Genomic DNA, 20,274 nt, shown 5'->3' on the forward strand with positions numbered 1-20,274 from the left:
CCCGGCCTGCCGGAGCCCCAGTCGACGCACAGAAAAGCCTCGGCGGCACAGACGCGGGCTTTATTAACATTTGGTAGTGAGCACGGCCCCCAGGGCATCGCGGGGGCTCGGGTCCCGGTGACGCAACGGTTAAACCTGGCTCGCGACTTAGCGCAGGCGCCTGGGGGAAAGCCCGGAGCCTGAGGGCGGGGCCACGGAGCCACTTCCGGCGGCTGTGGGCGGAAAACCCAAAACTTCCGATGGGACCAAGCCTTCCGTGGCTTCACACGCACCGGAAGGGAATCTGGGTCAGCCCTCCCTCCAAAGGAGACAGCACGGATCCTCTTTTTGCATAGGCCTGAGGGAAGTACTTCCGCCCATATTCAAGATGGCTGCCCAGGGCAGTGGGAACGGGTGGAGTTTCGGGATGTGGAGCGAAGGTCACTGGGAGGGGGCGGAGCTTCCCCTGCCCAAGTTCCGATCCCACCAGGACTGGAAGACTCGCGTCCAGCTGGAGCTTTGCCGCATCTGCGTTGCTGTGCCCGCGCTCTTCGGGCGAGGAAGTCCCTTCTGGTGGAGGGAGAAAAGGGTTACATGAGTTAGATTACCATGGCAGCTCGAGCCAGGCTCTCCACTTCCGTGAGCCTTCCTCTAAGTGAGATCGGGGGGGAGATAATGAAGGCCACAACTCCCAGGAGGCTCCACGCCGGGCGGTCAGGGACGCTCGCGAGGACGCATGGGCCCCCAGGAATGGGAACTGGTTAGATCCCAGGAACTCCGTGCCGGAGACGGGAAGAGAGGATGCCTAGGGCCCTAAATGGAAAGGCCAGAGCTGGAGACCTAGCACCCAGAAGATGAGACCGCAATTCGAGAATCAAAGGGCCGGGAGCGATGGTGAGCGCCTGTAATCCCAGCACTTTGGGAGGTTGAAGCGGGAGGATCCTTTGAGGCCAGGAGTTCCAGGCTGCAGTGAGCCGTGATCGCACCACTGCACTCCAGCCTGGGCGACAGAGCGCACAGGTGCCAGCAAGGAGCACAAATACCAGCATGCCTGGTCTTCCAAGAATTCGGGGAACCCAGGAGCTTTGGCCTGGAGTGGGATCTAGACTACAGATCCCAGCATGCCCTGTGAGACACACACACACACACACACACACACACACACGCCTGGAGTGGGATCTAGACTACAGATCCCAGCATGCCCTGTGACACACACACACACACACACACACACACACACACACACGCCTGGAGTGGGATCTAGACTACAGATCCCAGCATGCCCTGTGACTGACACACACACACACACACACACACACACCTGGAGTGGGATCTAGACTACAGATCCCAGCATGCCCTGTGACTCTCTCACACACACACACACACACACACACACCTGGAGTGGGATCTAGACTACAGATCCCAGCATGCCCTGTGACTCACACACACACACACACACACACACACACACACACACACACGCCTGGAGTGGGATCTAGACTACAGATCCCAGCATGCCCTGTGACTCTCACACACACACACACACACACACACACACACACACACACGCCTGGAGTGGGATCTAGACTACAGATCCCAGCATGCCCTGTGACTCACACACACACACACACACACACACCAGGCGGGGGAAGAGCTGGGGAGTGGGGGCGGGGAAGTCTTGTGACTACAAATCCCAGAATGCTCTGGAGCTAGGAAGGAACAGGACGGCTTTGGGGAGGGGTCGTGGGACTCCAGATCCGGGCGTGCCTTGGGACAAGGCAGGGACAGACCGGCGGGGGGCGGCCTGGTACTTCAGGTCCTGGCACGCTGGGGACTGGCGCTCACCTTAAAGGAGTCCACAAACTCGTCACTCATCCTCCGGAGCTCGCGGCCATAGCGCTGTGCTGCCCAGAGGTTGGGGGGCGCCGAGCGCGAGCGGCCCCGAAAGGGGCTGGGCTCCTCCCCCATCCCTTCGTCGTCCTCCGTCCCCGCGGGGTAGGAGCTGTGGCGACTCCGGATCTCCACAGCCCCAGCGCCTGCAGAGGGTCAGTGGGTAGGGGGGCGACGTTAATCTCAGCTCCTCTAAGCCCCTGGCCCTGCCTGAACCCTCCCCATCAGCTCTGCAGGCCCACTCGTGGGTCTTCCAGGGGCGCATCACAGCCCACCTCTCAGAGCCCCAGTCCCTTGTATGTGAATCGAGGGGAAGCTCAGGGGCCTTTGGTGAAGATTTAGGTTAACTTCTCATTAATCCCACGAATCCTTACCGAGTGCCAATAATGGGTGAGGCCCTGTGCCTAGCACAAAATAAGGGCATAAGAAATACTAGTTACATCACAAGGTCAGGAGATCGAGACCATCCTGGCCAACATGGTGAAACCCTGTCTCTACTCAAAACACAAAAATTAGCTGGGCATAGTGGCACGTGCCTATAGTCCCAGTTACTCGGGAGGCTGAGGCAGAAGAATCGTTTGAACCCAGGAGGGAGAGGTCGCAGTGAGCCGAGATCACGCCACTGCACTCCAGCCTGGGCGACAGGCTTTTTTTCTCAAAAGAAAAAAAAAAAAAGCAAGAAGTATTATTAGTGCAAGACCTTCATGGGGCCTCCTGGCAACCCCTGGGTTGGTAGCTATTTCATAGTGTCTGTTCTACATCGGAGGAAGCCAATCCCTTGGATAGGAAAGTGTCCTGCCACAGCCGGCAGGATTGAATGCCTCCTCTGCAAGGGACCTGCAGAGCCCCTGGAGAACAAGAACTTGGCCGCTACATGTCCGCATCCCCCACAGAGCCTTCTCTGGAGACAGTGTCTGGAACTGTTGACGTTTTTAGGTACCATTGATGGTGCACTTACGTGTAGGCCGAGACATTCCCTTATTATCCTCCTAACCACCCTGGGAGGTGAGTACCAAACATGCTTAGGTGAGAAGACAGAAGCTTAGAGAGTTAAGACTTGCCCAGTTTCTGTGAAGCTGTGGAGGCCTGAGGCTGGAAGGTTCCAAAGGTTTGGTGGAATCCAGAGTCCAGTGATGATCAGCGGAGCTCTGTGTCTCTCCCCTTGTCTAGCCAGCCTTCGACTCTCTTAGCCTGTGTCCTCACCTTTATGAGGGGATAATCCTAGCCCTGACTCCCAGTGGCTGTGTGAACATCACATAAAATTAAAAAATGTGAAAGTGCTTTGTGGCTGGGCGTGATTCCTCACGCCTGTAATCCCAGCACTTTGGGAGGCTGAGGCAGGTGGATTGCTTGAGTTCAGGAGTTCGAGACCAGCCTAGGCAACATTGCAAAACCCCATCTCTATTAATTTAAAAAATTAATAAAAGAAGGCCAGACGTGGTGGCTCACGCCAGTAATCCCAGCACTTTGGGAGGCCAAGGCAGGTGGATCACCTGAGGTCAGAAGTTCGAGACCAGCCTGGCCTCAAACTCTGGTGAAACTCCGTCTCTACTAAAAATACAAAAATTAGTTAGGTGTGGTGGTTCACGCCTGTAGTCCCAGCCACTCAGGAGGCTGAAGCAGGAGAACTGCTTTAACCCAGTGGGTGGAGGTTGCAGTGAGCCGAGATTGTGCCACTGCACTCCAGCCTGGGTGGCAGAGCGAGACTCTGTCTCAAATAATAATAATAATAACAAAAGAAAAAAGAAAGTGCTTTGTAGGCTGCAAGTGCACTATGGGTTATTATTCAGAGGCCCGCCTACTATGGTCTATTTGAACTGTGCTCTGTGCCATCTCCCAACTCCTGCCAACTCCACTCCTCTACCCAGACCGATAAAGACTTAGAACCACTCCCCTGAGCAAACACTCAGAGTGCAATGACAGAGTGAGAAGCAGGTGGGGGGCTGGGCGCAGTGGCTCACGCCTGTAATCCCAGCACTTTGGGAGGCCGAGGTTGGGGAGATCACGAGGTCAGGAGTTTAAGACCAGACTGACCAAGATGGTAAAACCCCGTCTCTACTAAAAATACAAAAAAATTAGCCAGGCGCGGTGGCAGGCACCTGTAATCCCAGCTACTCGGGAGGCTGAAGCAGAAGAATCGCTTGAACCTGGGCAGCAGAGGTTACAGTGAGCCAAGATCACGCCACTGCACCCATCTCAAAAAAAAAAAAAAAAAAAAAAAAAGAGAGGCAGGTAGGGAAACATGCTGGGTGTTTATGGCAAGATATGTCTGTCAGGGAGGCTCTTTGGAGGAGGTAAATTACAGGCCAGGAACTGAAGGCGGGGGATAACCATTGGAATGTCTCTTCTCCCCTCAGAGGACCTGAGGACCTGGCCTGTGGGCCAGTGCAGGGCCTCCAGGGGTCCCAGCTAGGACACATAAATGAGACACATGACTAAGAAAGCAAGTAGGTGGCCGGGTGCGGTGGCTTACGCCTTTAATCCCAACACTTTGGGAGGCCGAGGCAGGCGCATCACGAGGTCAGGAGATCGAGACCATCCTAACACGGTGAAACCCCATCTGTACTAAAAGTACAAAAAATTAGCTGGGCATGGTGGCTGGCGCCTTAGTTCCAGCTACTCGGGAGGGTGAGGCAGGACAATGGCGTGAACCCGGGAGGCGGAGCTTGCAGTGAGCTGAGATCACGCCACTGCACTCCAGCCTGGGTGACAGAGTGAAACTCTACCTCGAGAAAAAAAAAAAAAGCAAGTAGGCGCAGTGGCTCACGCCAGTAATCCCAACACTTTGGGAGGCCAAGGCAGGTGGATCACTTGAGGCCAGGAGTTCGAGATCAGCCTGACCCAACATGGCAAAAACCCATCTCTACTAAAAATACAAAAAAAGGCCAGGTGTGGTGGCTCACGCCTGTAATCCCAGCACTTTGGGAGCCCAAGGCAGGTGGATCACGAGGTCAGGAGTTCGAGACCAGCCTGACCCACATGGTGAAACCCTGTCTCTACTAAAAACACAAAAATTAGCCAGGTGTGGTGGCGCGAGCCTGTAATCCCAGCTACTCAGGAGGCTGAGGCGGGAGAATCACTTGAACCCAGGAGGCAGAGGTTGCAGTGAGCCGAGATTGCACCACTGCACTCCAGCCTGGGTGGCAGAGTGAGACTCTGTCTCAAAAAAAAAAAGAAACTAGCCAGGCATGGTGGTGTGGGCCTGTAGTCCCAGCTACTAGGGAGGTTAAGGCACAAGAATCACTTGAACCTGGGAGGCGGAGGTTGCAGTGAGCTGAGATCTCACCATTGCACTCCAGTCTGGCAGTCTGGGAGACAGAGTGAGACTTTGTCTCAAAAAAAAAAAAAAAAAAAAAAAGCGAGTAAGGGAACGAGAGGACGGAATCCGGAAAGGCCTAGGGTAAGATAGGCTGTGATCAGAGTGCCTGGGCATTCTGAGCATCACCAAAGCCCAGAGCTGCCCCCAGGTCAGGTGGGGATACCTCAAGACCCTGGAGGAGTGAGGTGGCAGTGGGGAGAGGCATACTAGGTCAGGAGTAAAGATTACAGATGACAGCCAGGCGTGGCGGCTCATGCCTATAATCCCAGCACCTTGGGAGGCTGAAGGATTTCGGATAGGGGCAGGAGAGCCGGGAACAGAAGGGGCACTGACGGAACAGGCCTGTCTGCAGAGTAATTTCCAGTTCTGTGGTGCGGTGACTGTGGAGCAGGGGTCAGCTAGGTGGGCCAGGCCCTGGCCACATTCCTGCTCTGACCTTAGCCCATTCTCCAACCCTTTGGGGCCCCAGTGTCTTCTGTGAAATGGGGGCAGTTCCCCATCTGCCAGGATCGCCATGACAACAAATGAGAGCAGGAAAGCCCCCTACCGGCCCCTCATAGCCTGAGGCCTCTGAGAGTCCCAGCCAGGTGAATATCCAGCTCTCCCTGTTGTACAGATGAGGAAACAGAGGCAGAGGTTAAGAACTTGCCTGAGGCCGTGTGGCTGGGACAGCCTGCTTAGCCACCTAAATACGCAGGAAACGGCAGCTGTTCTCCTCCACTAGCTCTGAGTGGGGCCACAGGACCACTACGCTTGCCGGACACAAGGCCCCACAGGTGGAAGGTGAGTGACTTGCACCCAGGCACTTGGCCTGGGCACTGCCCCTTGCCCAGGGATCAGAACAAGCAGAAGACACTGGGCAGGTATGGTGGATGGTCGGAAGCCCTCCCTGTGTATTCATTCATTTGATCCTTGCCACACCCTATCAGGGAGGTTCCTCATGGTTGCCATTTTACAGAGGAAGAAACTAAGGCAGAGAGCATAGGTAACTTGCCCAAGGTCACTGATCTAGTAGGTAGCAGAGCTGGGATCCCAACCCAACCAATGTGGCTTCAGGGGCTGTGTGCTTAGCTGTCATGCCCCAGGCTCCTTCCAGCTGTACCTTGGGCTGCCTTGGAGGCCTAGGCTGGGGAAGGCCCCTTTGGGCCTTCTGCTAGCACCAGTTCTGCCAGGAACCTGTCCTATGGGGTGGGAGTTTTTCACCAAATTCGTGGACTTAGCCAAGCTAGTTGTTATCAAGATGATACCCATTTGTGTAAATTGAATTATATATATGTAAATACAAATATACATATATTTATGTGTGTGTGTGTGTATATATTTGTGTGTGTGTGTGTGTATATATATATATATGTATTTTTTTTTTTTTAGAGGGAGTCTTGCTTTGTCACCCAGGCTGGAGTACAGTGATGTGATCTTGGCTCACTGCAACCTCTGCTCACCAGGTTCAAATGATTCTCCTGCCTCAGCCTCCTGGGTAGCTGGGATTACAGGTGCCCGCCACCATGCCCAGCTAATTTTTGTATTTTTAGTAGAGACGGGGTTTCACCATGTTGGTCGGGCTGGTCTTTAACTCCTGACCTCAGGCAATCCAAGTGCCTCGGCCCCCCAAAGTGCTGGGATTACAGGCGTGAGCCACGGTGCCCAGCCCTAAATTGAATTTTTAAAAAGTGTTCTATTTACAGGGAAAAACCCTGGGGGAGTGTCTGTGAATTCCCTGGGGGAAGGAGAGGGCTGGGGCAGGGCCTGGGCCAGACTCTCCCTTCTCTGGGGAAGGGAAGGGGTGTGGCTCCTCCTTGGGTGTGAACGTGGGTGGGTGCCCAGGCCTGCCCACTCTTGCCATCCGCCTAGAGCCTGGCCCGGAGCTGGGTGTGGAAGTGGAGGGTAGTGGCTGTGGCTAGAAGTGCCCCAGGCCCCAGCATGGCACCTCTAGCTTTACATTCTCTGCGTGTTGGGCTTCTGAGTCAGCGGCTGGGGCGGACATCCCTGCTGATGCTTCCGCGAGCATCCCTGCACTGGGATTTTCAGAGTCCTCAGATTCCCAAGAAGGAGAATACGAAGTTCTCCCTGTTTTATAGATGAGGAAACAGAGGCACACTTAATTACAAGACACTTGCACACTGAATTGCACACTTAATTAAAACAGTGGTGTTCCAGACCGTTTGGAGCAGTGAAGCTCTGCCATCAGGCAAGGGCTGGGTTTGGATCCTGCCCCTACCACATGCCGACCACACACAATCTGCTGCCGGGGGAGGCTGACGTCAGTGGCCAGCACAGTGGCCAGTGCTGCCACCCCACCCTGGGCAGACACTCGCAGCCTGTCCGCCTCCGGCACCTGTAGGCCTCAGCCTTGACTATAGCCTTCCGGTACAGAAGCCCCTTCAGGCCTGCAGAGAACACCCCCAACCTTGCTCAGAGCTCATAAAATCAGAAAGTACTCTAAAGTTGGCAAATGTTTCCTTTTTGTTTTTAAAAAACAGCGACAGGGTCTCTCTCTGTCACCCAGACTGGAGTGGGGTGGCACGATCTCAGCTTACTGCAGCCTCAAAATCCTAGGCGCAATCGATCTTCCCACCTCAGCCTCCTGAGTAGCTTGGACTACAGGCATCACCATGCCCGGCTAATTTTTTAATTTAAAAAATTTTTAGAGAAGTGTCTTGCCATCTTGCCCAGGCTGGTCTCGAACTCCTGAGCTCAAGTGATCCTCCTGCCTTGGCCTCCCAGAGTGCTGGGATTACAGGTATGAAAGGCTGGCTGGCAAATGTTTGTTCACTTTCTTTTCCCTTTTCCTAAGTTAGCTGAAAATGTTTTCTATAAAGGGGGTTCAGTGGGCCACGTGGTCTCTGTGACAACCACTCACCTTTGTGGCCAGAGCTGAAAGGAAACCATAATCAATGTGTAAATGAATACACTGCACCTTGCTGTGTTCCACTAACACTTTCTTTAGGGACCTTGAAATTTGAATTTCATAGAATGTTCACGTTACAAAATATAGTTCTTTGGATTTTTGTCCATAACTTAAAAATATAGGCCCAATGTGGTGGCTCATGCCTGTAATCCCAACACTTTGGGAGGCCAAGGCAAAAGGACTGCTTGAGGCCAGGAGTTCGAGACCAGCCTGAGCAACACAGAAAGACCCTTGTCTCTACAAAAATTAAAATAAAAAAATTAGCCAGGCATGGTGGCGTGCGCCTGTAGTCCCAGCTACTTAGGAAGCTGAGGTGGGAGGATGGCTGGAGCCCAGAAATTTGAGGCTTTATAAATATATAAAGCCAAGAATGTACATAAAGGCAAGAAAATCACTTGAACCTGGGAGGTAGAGGTTGCTGCGAGGCGAGATTGCACCACTGCACTCCAGCCTGGGCGACAGAGTGAGGCTCCATCTTGGAAAAAAAAATTATATATATATATTTATATATAAATATATATATACATAAATAATAACAATGGCAGTTCTAATAATAAGAGCCGCAAACACTTAGCCCCTCCTCTGCGCCAGGCACTGTTTCCAAGCACTTTTCCTATATTAACTCATCAGGTCCTCGCCACAGCCCTGCGAGGTGGGACTAGTTCTATTCCCGTTTACAGATGAGGAAACTCAGGCAGATGGAGTTAATTAACCTGCTCAAGCTCAACCTGCTAGGAAGGGTAGAGCCACGTTTGAACCCTGCAGTCTGGCCCAGGGGCTAGCACTGGGCTGCTTCTTTCTGCCTCTCCACTGTCCACACCTGTTTCAGACACTGGGCTGTGTGGGCTGTCACAGCACAAGGTGGCTGCAGTCCCTGCCCTGGGGACACCTCAGCCATCCAGCAGGGGGGCCTGGTGGCAGGGACTATGAGGAGTGACCGAACCAAGTGTGAGTTGCTCTGCGCAGGTAGAGAGGGCAGAGGCCCCGTGGCTCTGGCGGGGCACTGGCACTTGCTGATCTTTTCTGGGAAACCACTTGCTTTTGGAGACACTGAAAACTAAATCAAAAGGTTAAGAAATCCAGCTCTGTCCTCACCTGGCAGCTGTCTTCTCCCGCAGCCCTCTTTCCTACGGGTCTGCAGCTGGGGCTGGGGGGAGGTGTCGTCCCTGGCCTGTGCAGAATGTTACTCCTGTCCTCTGCCACTCCACCAGCACCCTGTCTCCTTTCTGTACCTTGCTACTCCTTCTACCATGATCTTGTCCCACTCTCCCCTCAGACTCATTCCCAGGGACATAACCTAGGCCTTGTCACCATCAAATAACTCCATCCCAAGCTTCCCACCAGCTGACCCAACCTGTGTGGATCATGCCCCCGGGACCCCAACTCCAACGATGCTGCGGCTTCCCAGGGCTTGCTCCCTTCCCTGAAGCTCAGCCAGCTTGGACCCCACATCTACCATTCCTTCCTTTGCACACACCTGAAGCCCCTACCCCTAACTGGACTGAGACAAGCACAACTCTGGTTCAGACTCCAAGTCCCTGCCAGCTCCCACTAGCACCCTGCTAAAAATCCCACCAGATGCTTAAAAGCCACCTCTAGCGGCCAGACGCGGTGGCTCATGCCTGTAATCCCAGCATTTTGGGAGGCTGAGGCGGGTGGATCACGAGGTCAGGAATTCGAGACCAGCCTGGCCAACATGGTGAAACCCCCGTCTCCACTAAAAACACAAAAATTAGCTGGGCATGGTGCATGCCTGTAATCCCAGCTACTGGGGAGGCTCAGGCAGGAGAATGGCATGAACCCAGGAGGTGGAAGTTGCAGTGAGCCGAGATCGTGCCACTGCACTCCAGCCTGGGTGACAGAGTAAGACTCTATCTCAAAAAAAAAAAAAAAAAAAAAATCCCCCTCTATCCCACCCTCTAGGGTAGCCTCCAGATCCTCCCTCACCCTTCAGTGTTTCTTCTCCATTAAAAGCAACTTCATCCTACCGGGTGCTCAAGCCAGATTCCTTGGTGTTGGCTGGGCACTGTGGCTCATGCCTGTAATCCCAGCACTTTGTGAGGCCAAGGTGGGAGGATCACTTGGGGCCAGGAGCTCAAGACCAGCCTGGCCAACATAGCAAGACCTTGTCTCTAAAATTAATAATAATTTGGCCAGGCGCGGTGGCTCACGCCTGTAATCCCAGCACTTTGGGAGGCCAAGGCGGGCGGATCACAAGGTCAGGAGATCGAGACCATCCTGGCTAACATGGTGAAACCCCATCTCTACTAAAAACACACAAAAAAATTAGCTGGGCATGGTGGCGGGAGGCTGTAGTCCGAGCTACTCTGGAGGCTGAGGCAGGAGAATGGCGTGAACCCGGGAGGCAGAGCTTGCAGTGAGCTGAGATGGTGCCACTGCACTCCAGCCTGGGCGACAGAGCAAGACTCCATGTCAAAAATAAAATAAAATAATAATAATAATAATAATAATAATTTTTTTTTTTGAGACGGAGTCTTGCTCTGTCGCCCAGGCTGGAGTGCAGTGGCACCATCTCGGCTCACTGCAAGCTCTGCCTCCCGGGTTCATGCCATTCTCCTGCCTCAGCCTCCCGAGTAGCTGGGACTATAGGCACCCACCACCACGCCCGGCTAATTTTTTGTATTTTTAGTAGAGACGGGGTTTCACCGTGTTAGCCAGGATGGTCTTGATCTCCTGACCTCGTGATCCGCCCGCCTCGGCCTCCCAAAGTGCTGGGATTACAGGCGTGAGCCACCGCGCCTGGCCTAATTTATTTTATTTTTATTTATTTTTTGTTTTTTGAGACGGACTCTTGCTCTGTCACCCAGGCTGGAGTGCAGTGGCAGGATTTCAGCTCACTGCGACCTCCACCTCCTGGGTTCAAGTGATTCTCCTGCCTCAGCCTCTCAGGTAGCTGGGATTACAGGCGCCCACCACCACATCCAGCTAATTTGTGTATTTGTAGTAGAGACAGGATTTCACCAAGTTGGCCAGGCTGTTCTTGAACTCCTGACCTCAAGTGATCTGCCTGCCTCAGCCTCCCGATGTGCTGGGATTACAGGTGTGAGCCACCACGCCCGGCCAATAATAATTTTTTTTTTGAGACGGAATCTTGCTCTGTCACCCAGGCTGGAGTGCAGTGGTGCAATCTCTGCTCACTGCAAGCTCCGCCTCCCGGGCTCACGCCATTCTCCTGCCTCAGCCTCCAGAGTAGCTGGGACTACAGGCGCCCACCACCACGCCCAGAGAATTTTTTGTATTTTTAGTGGAGACGGGGTTCACCGTGTTAGCCAGAATGGTCTCTATCTCCTGACCTCATGATCTGCCCACCTCGAACTACCAAAGTGCTGGGATTATAGGCGTGAGCCACCGCGCCCAGCCTAATAGTTTTTTTAAAATTCCTTGGCATCATCCTGACTCCTCTCTTTCCCTCGCACCCCACATCCAGTCCATCAGCAGATCCTGCCAGTTCTGCTTTAAAAATAAATCCAGGGATCAGCTACTTCTCACCACCTCCCTGGTGACTCTCTGAATGTCTAAATCTGACCATGCTGCCTCTGCTCAAATCCTTTCCAGGTTTTTACTCAAAGGCAATGCCAGAGTCCTTAGAATGACCTTCAACTTTAGGTCTCCAAATACCCTTTCCTAAACCCCCTCCCCTAGGCCCACCCTAGCCAGGAGCAGGTGTTGCCCTCGAGGCCTTACCATCTGCCCTTCTCTCTGCCTGGAACTCTCTTCCCATCATCCCTGTGGCCTTGGCTCCAGTGGTGCTTCTCACCAAGGTGAGTGCTGACCACCTCTGCTACCATCACTCCCCCCGCCCCTGTGACTCCGGATTCTCTTAACTCTTTTTTTTGAGATGAGTCTCACTCTGTCGCCAGGCTGGAGTGCAGTGGCACGATCTTGGCTCACTGCAACCTCCGCCTCCCGGGTTCAAGCGATTCTCCTGCCTCAGCCTCCCGAGTAGCTGGGACTATAGGTGCGCGCCACCATGCCCAGCTAATTTTTGTATTTTTGGTAGAGATGGGGTTTCACCATGTTGGCCAGGATGGTCTCCATCTCTTCACCTTGTGATACGCCCACCTAGGCCTCCCAAAGTGTTGGAATTACAGGCGTGAGCCACCGCGCCCGGCCTCTCTTAACTCTTTTACATGCTGCCCCCATACAAATCTTCTCACGCATGATAGGATGCTTTTGTGCTTGTTTGCTCATGGCCCCACCAGCTCACTAGAAGGTAAGCTCCACAAGGGCAAGGATTCCTGACGCTTGGGTTCACCGAGGCCCCCTAGCAACTGGAACAGCCTGTGTCACACGGTGAGCACTCACTGTGTGGCGCGAGTGAATGCTGAGTGTGTGTGGGGGGCAGAGAGCAGGGGAAGTTTGTGAGCAGAAAAATGGCCAAGTGCAAGCTCAGGAAGTTAAAGAAAGCTGTGGAGGCTGAGCATGGTGGCTCACGCCAGTAATCTCAACAGTCTGGGAGGCCAAGGTGAGAGGATTGCTTGGGCCCAGGAATTCGAGACAAGACTGGGCAACAAAGCAAGACCCCACCTCTACAAAAAATAAAAAATGAGCTGGTGTGGTGGCATGCACCTGTGGTCCCAGCTGTTCTGGAGGCTGAGGCAGGAGGATCGTTTGAGCCCAGGAGTTTGAGGCCTGCCTGGGCAACAAAAGGAGACCCCGCCCCTGCCCTCATCTCATGAAAATGTGAAAAATGCTGGGCATGGTGGCTCACGCCTGTAATCCCAACACTGTTGGGAGGCTGAGGCGGGTGGATTACGAGGTCAGGAAATGGAGACCACCCTGGCTAACACGGTGAAACCCCATCTCTAATAAAAATACAAGAAATTAGCCCGGCATGGTGACACGCGCCTGTAGTCCCAGCTACTCTGGAGGCTGAGGCAGGAGAACTGCTTGAACCCAGGAGGCAGAGGTTGCAGTGAGCCGAGATTGCACCACTGCACCCCAGCCTGGGCAGCAGAGTGAGACTCCGTCTCAGGAAAAAAAAAAAAAAAAAAAGAAAAAGTAAAAAATAAATTAACTGGGTGTGGTCCACACACCTGTATTCCCAGTTACGTGGGAGGATCACTTAAGCCCAGAAGTTCCGGGCTGCAGTGAGCTGAGATCGCACCTCTGTACTCCCTCCTGGGTGATAGAGCGAGACCCTGTCTCAAAACAAAACAAAACAAACAGAAAAAAAGAAAGCAAGCTATGGGGTCCAATCTGAGAGAATCGAGTGTGGGTGTTTATCCGTAAGAGAGCGAGGGGAAAGAGGCCTCTTAAGCCTTCTTAATCCTGAAAATGGGGAGGAGGTCTTTTAAGCTGCAGTGCCAGAGTGACATGACCTAGTTTTCTATTTTTAGAGATGGGGTCTGGCTATGTTGCCCAGGCTGGTCTTGAATTCCTGGGCTCAAGCCAGCCTCCTGAGTTGCTGGGACTACAGACATGTGCCACCCCACCCAGCTTGACCTGGTTTTTGTGTTCAGAAGATATCTGTTGTTGTTCCAGGTGCCAAGGCCAGTGCTGGGCACAGGGGTGCTAGAGCCTACTGAGAAATGGACATAGAACCCCAGTGTCCATCCTTCCATCTTGGAGCCTGTGCTTCTCACCCCACACAGCCCTGCTGTCTGGGAGGACTGTCTGCCCCTTGAGGTCATCTGCCCCTGGCCACTGTGCCAGGACAGTCCTGCTGTGGGTACGAGCCACAGGGCAAGAAAGAACACATCTGGGAGCTGGAAGGCCTAATCCCAGGGAAAGCATGTAGCCTGGGGCAGGGCACCAAGGAGGCTTCCAGCCCCCACATTCTAAGGAAAGAAACACCAGGAAGGTGTGGCCTTAGGCAGGCCCCTTTTCCTTTTCGGATCACTGCCTGCCTGTCACTGATTTCTGTCCTAACCCCACACTAATAGCTGCTATATATATATATATGTATTTTAAGAGCTGGAGTCTCCCTAAGTCACTCAGGCTGGCCTTGAACTTCTGGGCTCAAGCGATCCTCCTGCCTTGGCCTCCCAAAGTGCTGAGATTACAGGTGTGAGCCACCACGCCCGGCAGCAACCATTTTTTAGCTTTAATGTGCACCAGCTCTGTAATCAAGTGCATCCTATATGTTCCTGCTAATTAACTCAACAGTCCTACAATGGTGGTTATTAATTGCTGTTTTACGAAAGAGGAAACTGGGGCTCTGAGAGTTTGGGGACCGACCCAAAGCATTCAGTGCCTGTGGATGCAACTGGGATGCAGGGAGCCAGTGGGCTGGGGGTGAGGTGTCCCGGCAGGTGGAGGTGGTGGGGTACTTACCTCCATGATGGCTGCTGCTGGTTGGCTGCTCCTGCTGGTGACTGGCGTCCCACAGGAGGCCTGGGGCCTGGCGATGATGCTTGCCGGAGCCTGAGGGCCCGTCCCCTGCGGGGCTGGGGCCCAGGCCCCTCTCTGCAGAGCTGGAGTCTTCCTGCTCACTCGGCTCAAACTCTGGGATCTGGAACATGCTCTGGGCTGTGAGGACAAGATGTTACGTAGTCAAGGCACAGCTGGGGCCAACGGTGGCCCTGGAAGGCAGAGGCAGGTACCCCTGGCTTCCTCTCCCACCGTAGCGCCCCCAGGCCCGCCAGGCCTCCTGGGCCCTCATCTGTCTGCCGGGTCTGGCCTGGCAGGGAGCTGAGGCTGTCGGCTCAGGACCTCAGTCTCCCCTCAGAACCCCGGTGGACCCAGGCCCCGCCCCGCCCGTGGTGACGGCGCACAGGTCTCACCCCAAGCCCGATCTCGAGGCCCCTGACCCGGGCCTGCCGCCTCCCTCCAGCACCCCGGGCTCCGGGCCCTAGTTGCTTGGGCAACGGGAACTGTCAGCGACCTGGCCCAATCACCTCTCGGAACGTCACTCGGGTAGGTCCAGAGGCGGGGTCAACCCGGCCCGGCCCCGCCCCCCCGCCGGATCCAAGGCTCCTCGTCCGCATCCTTTTTCCTCCCTCCTTCGGCCCCGGGGCTCACATCCTCGCTGCCTCACACCTTGGGCGTGTGTGGGAGCAGGAGAGGGATTCTCTGGGGTCCCCATTTGGAACCTGGAGACCCACTTCTGCCAACAAGTCCTTCAGCCCCTCTGGGCCTTAGTTTCCCCCCAGTGAAGTGGGGATAGTGACAGCTCCCCCGGGAGCCAGTGAAAACTTTGTGAAGGGAGTGATTACTGCGGGCGAAGGCGCTTGGCACAGCCACAACTGAAGCTCAGCCGTCGGATGTGATTATTGTTGCTATTGTTACCGCTCCGCCTGGACTGGGTGCCCGGTCGGAAAGTCCCGCTCCCCGCTCCTCCTCCCAGGCGCGGAAGCTTCGCGCCGCCCGCCTCGGGGGACACCTCCCGCGCCATCTCGGGGGCACTGGAGATAAGGAAAGGAACCTCCTCCCTGGCTGGGATGGCTGCCCGGGCGCGGGAGGAGGGCCGGGGACCCGGTGAGGGAGGACCGTAGGGCCCGTGGGGGCTTCACGCCTGGCAGGCGGCCGGCCAGGTGAGCAGGGCCGCGGGCGCGCCGGGGCGAGGGGCGGGCCCGCGCGGGGGATTCGGGGCTCCGCGGGTTCAGGCCCGGGGGCGGGGCCCGGGGGCCATCTTGGCTATGGGCGGAAGTTTTCTTCAGAGACCGAGGGACGGGAATCCGTTGCCGCCCCCGGCCGGGCGGCACGACCCCGATTTGGGTATAGGAGAGAGGAGCGTGGGAACTGGCGGACCCCCATACAAGTAAAGGCGGGCGGCACGGGGCACGGCCCACCCGGGGACCCCCTGGATGCGGCACGGCCCCCGCAACTCGGCCGCCCTCCTGCCGCCTCCCGTAACCCCGGGCGCCCGCCAGCGGCGCAGCTCGCGCCAATTCTCGTACGGTTTCACGCCGGGTGCGGCGCTGGACTGCGGAGCCAGCCGGGCCGCTGCGCAATTTGCGTAGCGAACGGCGCCCGCGCAGGCGCGGAGGGGGAGGGGGGCGGAGCAGCGGGAGCCGGGGAGCCGGAGCCCCGGGTCCCCACGACCTGAGCCGGCTCTCCCATCAGCGGCCTGAGGACCTGGCGTCCGCCTCCTCCCTCCCCTTGAGGCTGGAGCGTGGACGCGGTGGGGGAGGGTGGGGCGGGGGCAGCTTTCGAGAATTACGAGGACAGGAGGCAGAGGCCCTCCCCATCCGCATTATTGGAGGAGAGAGAGCCTCCCCCAGCTTGGGGAGGGGGAGAGCGGGGCATTGGGCGCCCCTCGCAGCGGCCGCTGCCCTGACCCGACGGGTATCAGCCGGCTCTCCCCCTCCACCCAGGACGACATGAACGACCGAGGCCAGGGAGTCCTCTCCTTGGGCCTCTGCATCCCCCCATCCTTGGCTCTGGGGTAGGCCCAGGGAGGAGACACCCCCAACCCCTATCCGGTCTGTCCTGGAGAAAAGAGACTGCCCTTCCATGCCCCTGAGTGAGGGGCCTGGGGCCCAGGCTGCCTGTGTTCCCCAAGGGCAAGGGTCTCTCTGTTGAGGAGGAGGGGCCTGTCAGCCACAACTTCTTTCCTCCTGAGCGCCCCATCTCCCTCTCTGCACCCTGCAATTCCCACCCCTCCGTATTTATTTCCCTGGTCCCGCCGACAGTCCCTCCTTGTCTGTCTCCGGGATTCAGGCCTCCCTCCCTGACATGGAGAGTAACCTGTCTGGCCTGGTGCCTGCTGCCGGGCTGGTGCCTGCGCTGCCACCTGCTGTGACCCTGGGGCTGACAGCTGCCTACACCACCCTGTATGCCCTGCTCTTCTTCTCCGTCTATGCCCAGCTCTGGCTGGTGCTTCTGTATGGGCACAAGCGTCTCAGCTATCAGACGGTGTTCCTGGCCCTCTGTCTGCTCTGGGCCGCCTTGCGTACCACCCTCTTCTCCTTCTACTTCCGAGATACTCCCCGCGCCAACCGCCTGGGGCCCTTGCCCTTCTGGCTTCTCTACTGCTGCCCCGTCTGCCTGCAGTTCTTCACCTTGACGCTTATGAACCTCTACTTTGCCCAGGTAACCAACTGTGGTCCCGGGTGGGGGGCGGGAGGTGGCAAGCCTCAAGGACCCACAGGAGTGAAGGGCATCTCTGCTCCTAGGTGGTGTTCAAGGCCAAGGTGAAGCGTCGGCCGGAGATGAGCCGAGGCTTGTAAGTACTCGGGACACTGGTGGGCTCAGCCTCCAGGTCAGGGGCAGGTGACAGTCCCATGTAGATCCCTTCCCACCTCTCAGGGCTGAGACAAAGGCAACCCAGGGAATGTCTGTGGAAGATCTTGGAAAAGTTAAAGCACCTGGCGCAGATGGCTCAGCAGAGGCCTTGCAGATCTGCAAGGCACAGGAATAGGAATGCTTGTGGTAGTGTGAGGGAGAGGGCCCCAGTGTCATCCACCATGGAGGGCGAGCTGGAGGCTCCAGCCCATGGAAGCACCAAAGCCATATGCACTCCTGGGTGACCTGGGGCCGCAATGCCCTCGTCATTTGTACAGTGTCTTACGGTTTATAAAGAGCTTTCCCAGCCATCTTTTATTTGTACAATTTCCCTGAGAGGCTACTATCCTCCCTTGAGAGATGAAGAAACTGAGGCCCAGCCAGGTAAGACAGCAGGATCAAGGTCGCAGAGCTGGGGCTCAGACAGAGACTTCTGACTCCAGTTGGTGCACCTTCCGAAGTACCATGGCTGTCAGTCACCTTCTGACCTTTTTGGGCCTCAGTTTCTCCATCTGTAAGAGTGGAGGAACAGGGCTCAGACTGGATGCCCTGAGTTTTGTCGACATTGGGGTTTCCTGCAGGAGGTGGGGCAGGTGGTGAGTGCTGAGGGCTGTTGAGGGCCCGCGCTGACTGTGCTGTGGCTGCAGGCTCGCTGTCCGAGGGGCCTTTGTGGGGGCCTCGCTGCTCTTTCTGCTGGTGAACGTGCTGTGTGCTGTGCTCTCCCATCGGCGCCGGGCACAGCCCTGGGCCCTGCTGCTTGTCCGCGTCCTGGTGAGCGACTCCCTGTTCGTCATCTGCGCGCTGTCTCTTGCTGCCTGCCTCTGCCTCGTCGCCAGGCGGGCGCCCTCCACTAGCATCTACCTGGAGGCCAAGGTAGGGCTGCAGCACTGATGCCCAGGTGTCTTTTGGGTCTCTCGGCAGCGGTTCTCAGGGTGTAGAGGAAGCTGGGAGCCTTCTCTCCCTGAGGGTCCTCTGTTGTTACCTGTGCCAGGGGACCAGTGTGTGCCAGGCGGCCGCGATGGGTGGCGCCATGGTCCTGCTCTATGCCAGCCGGGCCTGCTACAACCTGACAGCACTGGCCTTGGCCCCCCAGAGCCGGCTGGACACCTTCGATTACGACTGGTACAATGTGTCTGACCAGGTGGGCATACGCATGTCTGCCACCTCCTTAGTAGCCGTGGCACCTTGGCCCCAGCTGGCCTGGGCCCTGTCCCACTACCCCTTTGGCGTGACTGCAGACTGGCACCAGCCCCTGCCTTCCCACAGGCGGACCTGGTGAATGACCTGGGGAACAAAGGCTACCTGGTATTTGGCCTCATCCTCTTCGTGTGGGAGCTACTGCCCACCACCCTGCTGGTGGGCTTCTTCCGGGTGCACCGGCCCCCACAGGACCTGGTAAGGGTCTGCTCCCTCTTCTGTGGGGCCAGTGGAGGGGGCGGATGTTGCAAATCCTGGGTTGGAGTCTGGGGTTGGGCCTGGGAGGCCAGTGCAGGACAGGAGTAAGTATCGATGATGGCTTCCTCCCCCAGAGCACCAGCCACATCCTCAATGGGCAGGTCTTTGCCTCTCGGTCCTACTTCTTTGACCGGGCTGGGCACTGTGAAGATGAGGGCTGCTCCTGGGAGCACAGCCGGGGTGAGAGCACCAGGTAGGAGCCGTGGCACTGCCTCAGTACCCCTGCCCTACCCGCCCACCCCGCTGGCTCCATCAAGCTATGGGGGACCGAGATAGCCGGGTCTTGCCTTCCACCCCTGCCATGGCCTTTGCTTCCCCATCTGTACTAGGTGAGGTCCCCTGGGTTCCTATTGCTAAAGCCTCCACCTCTTGCCTAGAGATGTACTTTGTCCTGGGCCCCGAAGGTCTAGGTCACAGGGGTTCTGTTCTAAGCCTGTCTTCCTCCTGCAGCTCTTGTGACTGTGGCCCTGGTCACTGTCCTGAGACTGACCCTGTTTCTCTGCTGCAGTATGTCGGGCAGTCTAGGCTCTGGGAGCTGGTATGGTGCCATCGGGCGTGAGCCGGGCTGGTATGGGGGCAGCCAGACGAAGACCACTCCTCTGCTCTTCTCCCAGGTGCCAGGACCAGGCGGCCACCACCACAGTCTCTACTCCACCCCACAGACGTGATCCCCCTCCCTCCCCCACAGAATACCCAGGCCCCAGTCCCCCTCACCCTAGGCCCCTGTGCCAAGTTTGTCTGCCGCTTCTTGCCCAGGATCCTGGGGGTCGTGGCTACCCCCTCCTCTGGCCGGCTCCTTGCTGCTCCTGTCATAGTGAGCTTGTGCCGTCCCCCTAGGATGGGGGGCATGGCCCTGGCTGCCAGATGCCCACAGCACCCTGGCATGACCTGCCACCTCTGCTTCCACACCGGAGCCAGCTACCTCTCCTGTGCCTGCCACTCAATAAACAGTGTCTGCGCCCCACAGTTGTGCACCTGTCTGTCATCTGCCTTGTGTTCCTATCACTTTTGCCTGTTTGGCCTAAGGCTGAACAGACACTAGCCCTTGAAGTGGGCTGCTAGGCTGGGCAGGGGTGACTTACCCCATCAAGGCTGGTGGGCTGGGAGAGGAGGGGCCTGCAGTTTGCAAGGGAAGGAGACCACACAGGCCTTTGTTCTCAAAGCTCTCCTGGCCCAGAATTGCCCCACTACCTCCAGATCCCTCTCCACTTGAACAGTTGCTACTCTTTCCTCAAGACCTGCGTCAACTGTTACCTCCTTTAGGAAGCCTTCTGTCTCCTGGTCAAGGGACATGGCCCCTCTGCTGGGCCCCACAGCTCCACATTACTGATTATGTGGCCATTGAGGTTCTTTGTTTTGTTTTGTTTTTTGAAGCAGGGTCTCACTCTGTCACTCAGACTGGAGTGCAGTGGCACGATCATGGCCCACTGCAGCCTCAACCTACCAGGCTCAAGCAATCCTCCTGCCTCAGCCTCCCGAGTAGCTGGGAATACAGGCACATGCCACCATTCCTGACTAATTTTTTAATTTTTAA

At 56.3% G+C, this 20,274-nt stretch overlaps 2 protein-coding genes across 33 annotated transcripts, besides 9 other annotated features; one reads left to right on the forward strand and one right to left on the reverse strand.

Annotated features, from left to right (window-relative positions):
* Nucleotides 1–39: 39 nt before the first annotated feature.
* On the reverse strand, nucleotides 40–14,916 carry BAD (BCL2 associated agonist of cell death). 2 transcript variants are annotated; one of them, NM_032989.3, is made up of 4 exons: nucleotides 14,843–14,877; nucleotides 14,394–14,588; nucleotides 1,825–2,015; nucleotides 42–549 (listed from the first exon to the last, which is right to left on the reverse strand). In NM_032989.3, the coding sequence occupies exons 2-4, from the start codon at nucleotides 14,578–14,580 to the stop codon at nucleotides 421–423; spliced, it is 507 nt and encodes a 168-aa protein (NP_116784.1). In that variant the 5' UTR covers nucleotides 14,581–14,588; nucleotides 14,843–14,877; the 3' UTR covers nucleotides 42–420. The 2 variants fall into 2 exon arrangements, with proteins under 2 accessions (NP_004313.1, NP_116784.1); NM_004322.3 differs by having other exon boundaries at nucleotides 40–549; nucleotides 14,394–14,916.
* Nucleotides 274–703: an enhancer, noted in NCBI's record as "active region_4894". NCBI's record gives its function as "activates an Ori minimal core promoter by ATAC-STARR-seq in GM12878 lymphoblastoid cells {active_cell/tissue: GM12878}" and the evidence as "EXISTENCE:reporter gene assay evidence [ECO:0000049][PMID:35858748]".
* Nucleotides 743–19,712, forward strand: GPR137 (G protein-coupled receptor 137). 31 transcript variants are annotated; one of them, NM_001378078.1, is made up of 8 exons: nucleotides 743–873; nucleotides 16,722–17,093; nucleotides 17,177–17,226; nucleotides 17,933–18,158; nucleotides 18,277–18,426; nucleotides 18,552–18,680; nucleotides 18,815–18,933; nucleotides 19,249–19,706. In NM_001378078.1, the coding sequence occupies exons 2-8, from the start codon at nucleotides 16,737–16,739 to the stop codon at nucleotides 19,406–19,408; spliced, it is 1,191 nt and encodes a 396-aa protein (NP_001365007.1). In that variant the 5' UTR covers nucleotides 743–873; nucleotides 16,722–16,736; the 3' UTR covers nucleotides 19,409–19,706. The 31 variants fall into 31 exon arrangements, 27 of the variants coding, with proteins under 27 accessions (NP_001365007.1, XP_011543470.1, NP_001365013.1 ...); XM_011545168.3 differs by having other exon boundaries at nucleotides 19,355–19,706; NM_001378079.1 differs by lacking the exon at nucleotides 743–873 and adding an exon at nucleotides 15,055–15,592.
* Nucleotides 833–1,398: an enhancer, noted in NCBI's record as "H3K27ac hESC enhancer chr11:64038093-64038658 (GRCh37/hg19 assembly coordinates)". NCBI's record gives its function as "activates a minimal SCP1, AML or CMV promoter by ChIP-STARR-seq in primed H9 embryonic stem cells {active_cell/tissue: H9 hESC(primed)}" and the evidence as "EXISTENCE:reporter gene assay evidence [ECO:0000049][PMID:30033119]".
* Nucleotides 1,567–1,796: an enhancer, noted in NCBI's record as "active region_4895". NCBI's record gives its function as "activates an Ori minimal core promoter by ATAC-STARR-seq in GM12878 lymphoblastoid cells {active_cell/tissue: GM12878}" and the evidence as "EXISTENCE:reporter gene assay evidence [ECO:0000049][PMID:35858748]".
* Nucleotides 1,807–1,856: an enhancer, noted in NCBI's record as "active region_4896". NCBI's record gives its function as "activates an Ori minimal core promoter by ATAC-STARR-seq in GM12878 lymphoblastoid cells {active_cell/tissue: GM12878}" and the evidence as "EXISTENCE:reporter gene assay evidence [ECO:0000049][PMID:35858748]".
* Nucleotides 5,314–5,974: an enhancer, noted in NCBI's record as "H3K27ac-H3K4me1 hESC enhancer chr11:64042574-64043234 (GRCh37/hg19 assembly coordinates)". NCBI's record gives its function as "activates a minimal SCP1, AML or CMV promoter by ChIP-STARR-seq in primed H9 embryonic stem cells {active_cell/tissue: H9 hESC(primed)}" and the evidence as "EXISTENCE:reporter gene assay evidence [ECO:0000049][PMID:30033119]".
* Nucleotides 6,635–7,294: an enhancer, noted in NCBI's record as "H3K27ac-H3K4me1 hESC enhancer chr11:64043895-64044554 (GRCh37/hg19 assembly coordinates)". NCBI's record gives its function as "activates a minimal SCP1, AML or CMV promoter by ChIP-STARR-seq in naive H9 embryonic stem cells {active_cell/tissue: H9 hESC(naive)}" and the evidence as "EXISTENCE:reporter gene assay evidence [ECO:0000049][PMID:30033119]".
* Nucleotides 8,821–9,322: an enhancer, noted in NCBI's record as "H3K4me1 hESC enhancer chr11:64046081-64046582 (GRCh37/hg19 assembly coordinates)". NCBI's record gives its function as "activates a minimal SCP1, AML or CMV promoter by ChIP-STARR-seq in naive H9 embryonic stem cells {active_cell/tissue: H9 hESC(naive)}" and the evidence as "EXISTENCE:reporter gene assay evidence [ECO:0000049][PMID:30033119]".
* Nucleotides 14,757–15,046: a silencer, noted in NCBI's record as "silent region_3474". NCBI's record gives its function as "represses an Ori minimal core promoter by ATAC-STARR-seq in GM12878 lymphoblastoid cells {active_cell/tissue: GM12878}" and the evidence as "EXISTENCE:reporter gene assay evidence [ECO:0000049][PMID:35858748]".
* Nucleotides 15,397–16,136: a silencer, noted in NCBI's record as "silent region_3475". NCBI's record gives its function as "represses an Ori minimal core promoter by ATAC-STARR-seq in GM12878 lymphoblastoid cells {active_cell/tissue: GM12878}" and the evidence as "EXISTENCE:reporter gene assay evidence [ECO:0000049][PMID:35858748]".
* Nucleotides 19,713–20,274: the final 562 nt, after the last annotated feature.

Source organism: Homo sapiens, chromosome 11 (assembly GCF_000001405.40).
Source record: "Homo sapiens chromosome 11, GRCh38.p14 Primary Assembly".
Classification (NCBI taxonomy): Eukaryota; Metazoa; Chordata; class Mammalia; order Primates; family Hominidae; genus Homo; species Homo sapiens.

Coding starts and splice junctions, on each gene's coding strand:
- GPR137 (XM_011545168.3), top strand. Junction 18,159..18,276: donor GCATCTACCTGGAGGCCAAG/GTAGGGCTGCAG, acceptor TACCTGTGCCAG/GGGACCAGTGTGTGCCAGGC. Junction 18,681..18,814: donor ACCGGCCCCCACAGGACCTG/GTAAGGGTCTGC, acceptor TTCCTCCCCCAG/AGCACCAGCCACATCCTCAA.
- BAD (NM_004322.3), bottom strand. CDS start 14,580: ATGTTCCAGATCCCAGAGTTTGAGCCGAGTGAGCAGGAAGACTCCAGC. Junction 2,016..14,393: donor CAGCAGCAGCCATCATGGAG/GTAAGTACCCCA, acceptor GACCCTCTGCAG/GCGCTGGGGCTGTGGAGATC. Junction 550..1,824: donor AGTTTGTGGACTCCTTTAAG/GTGAGCGCCAGT, acceptor TCCCTCCACCAG/AAGGGACTTCCTCGCCCGAA.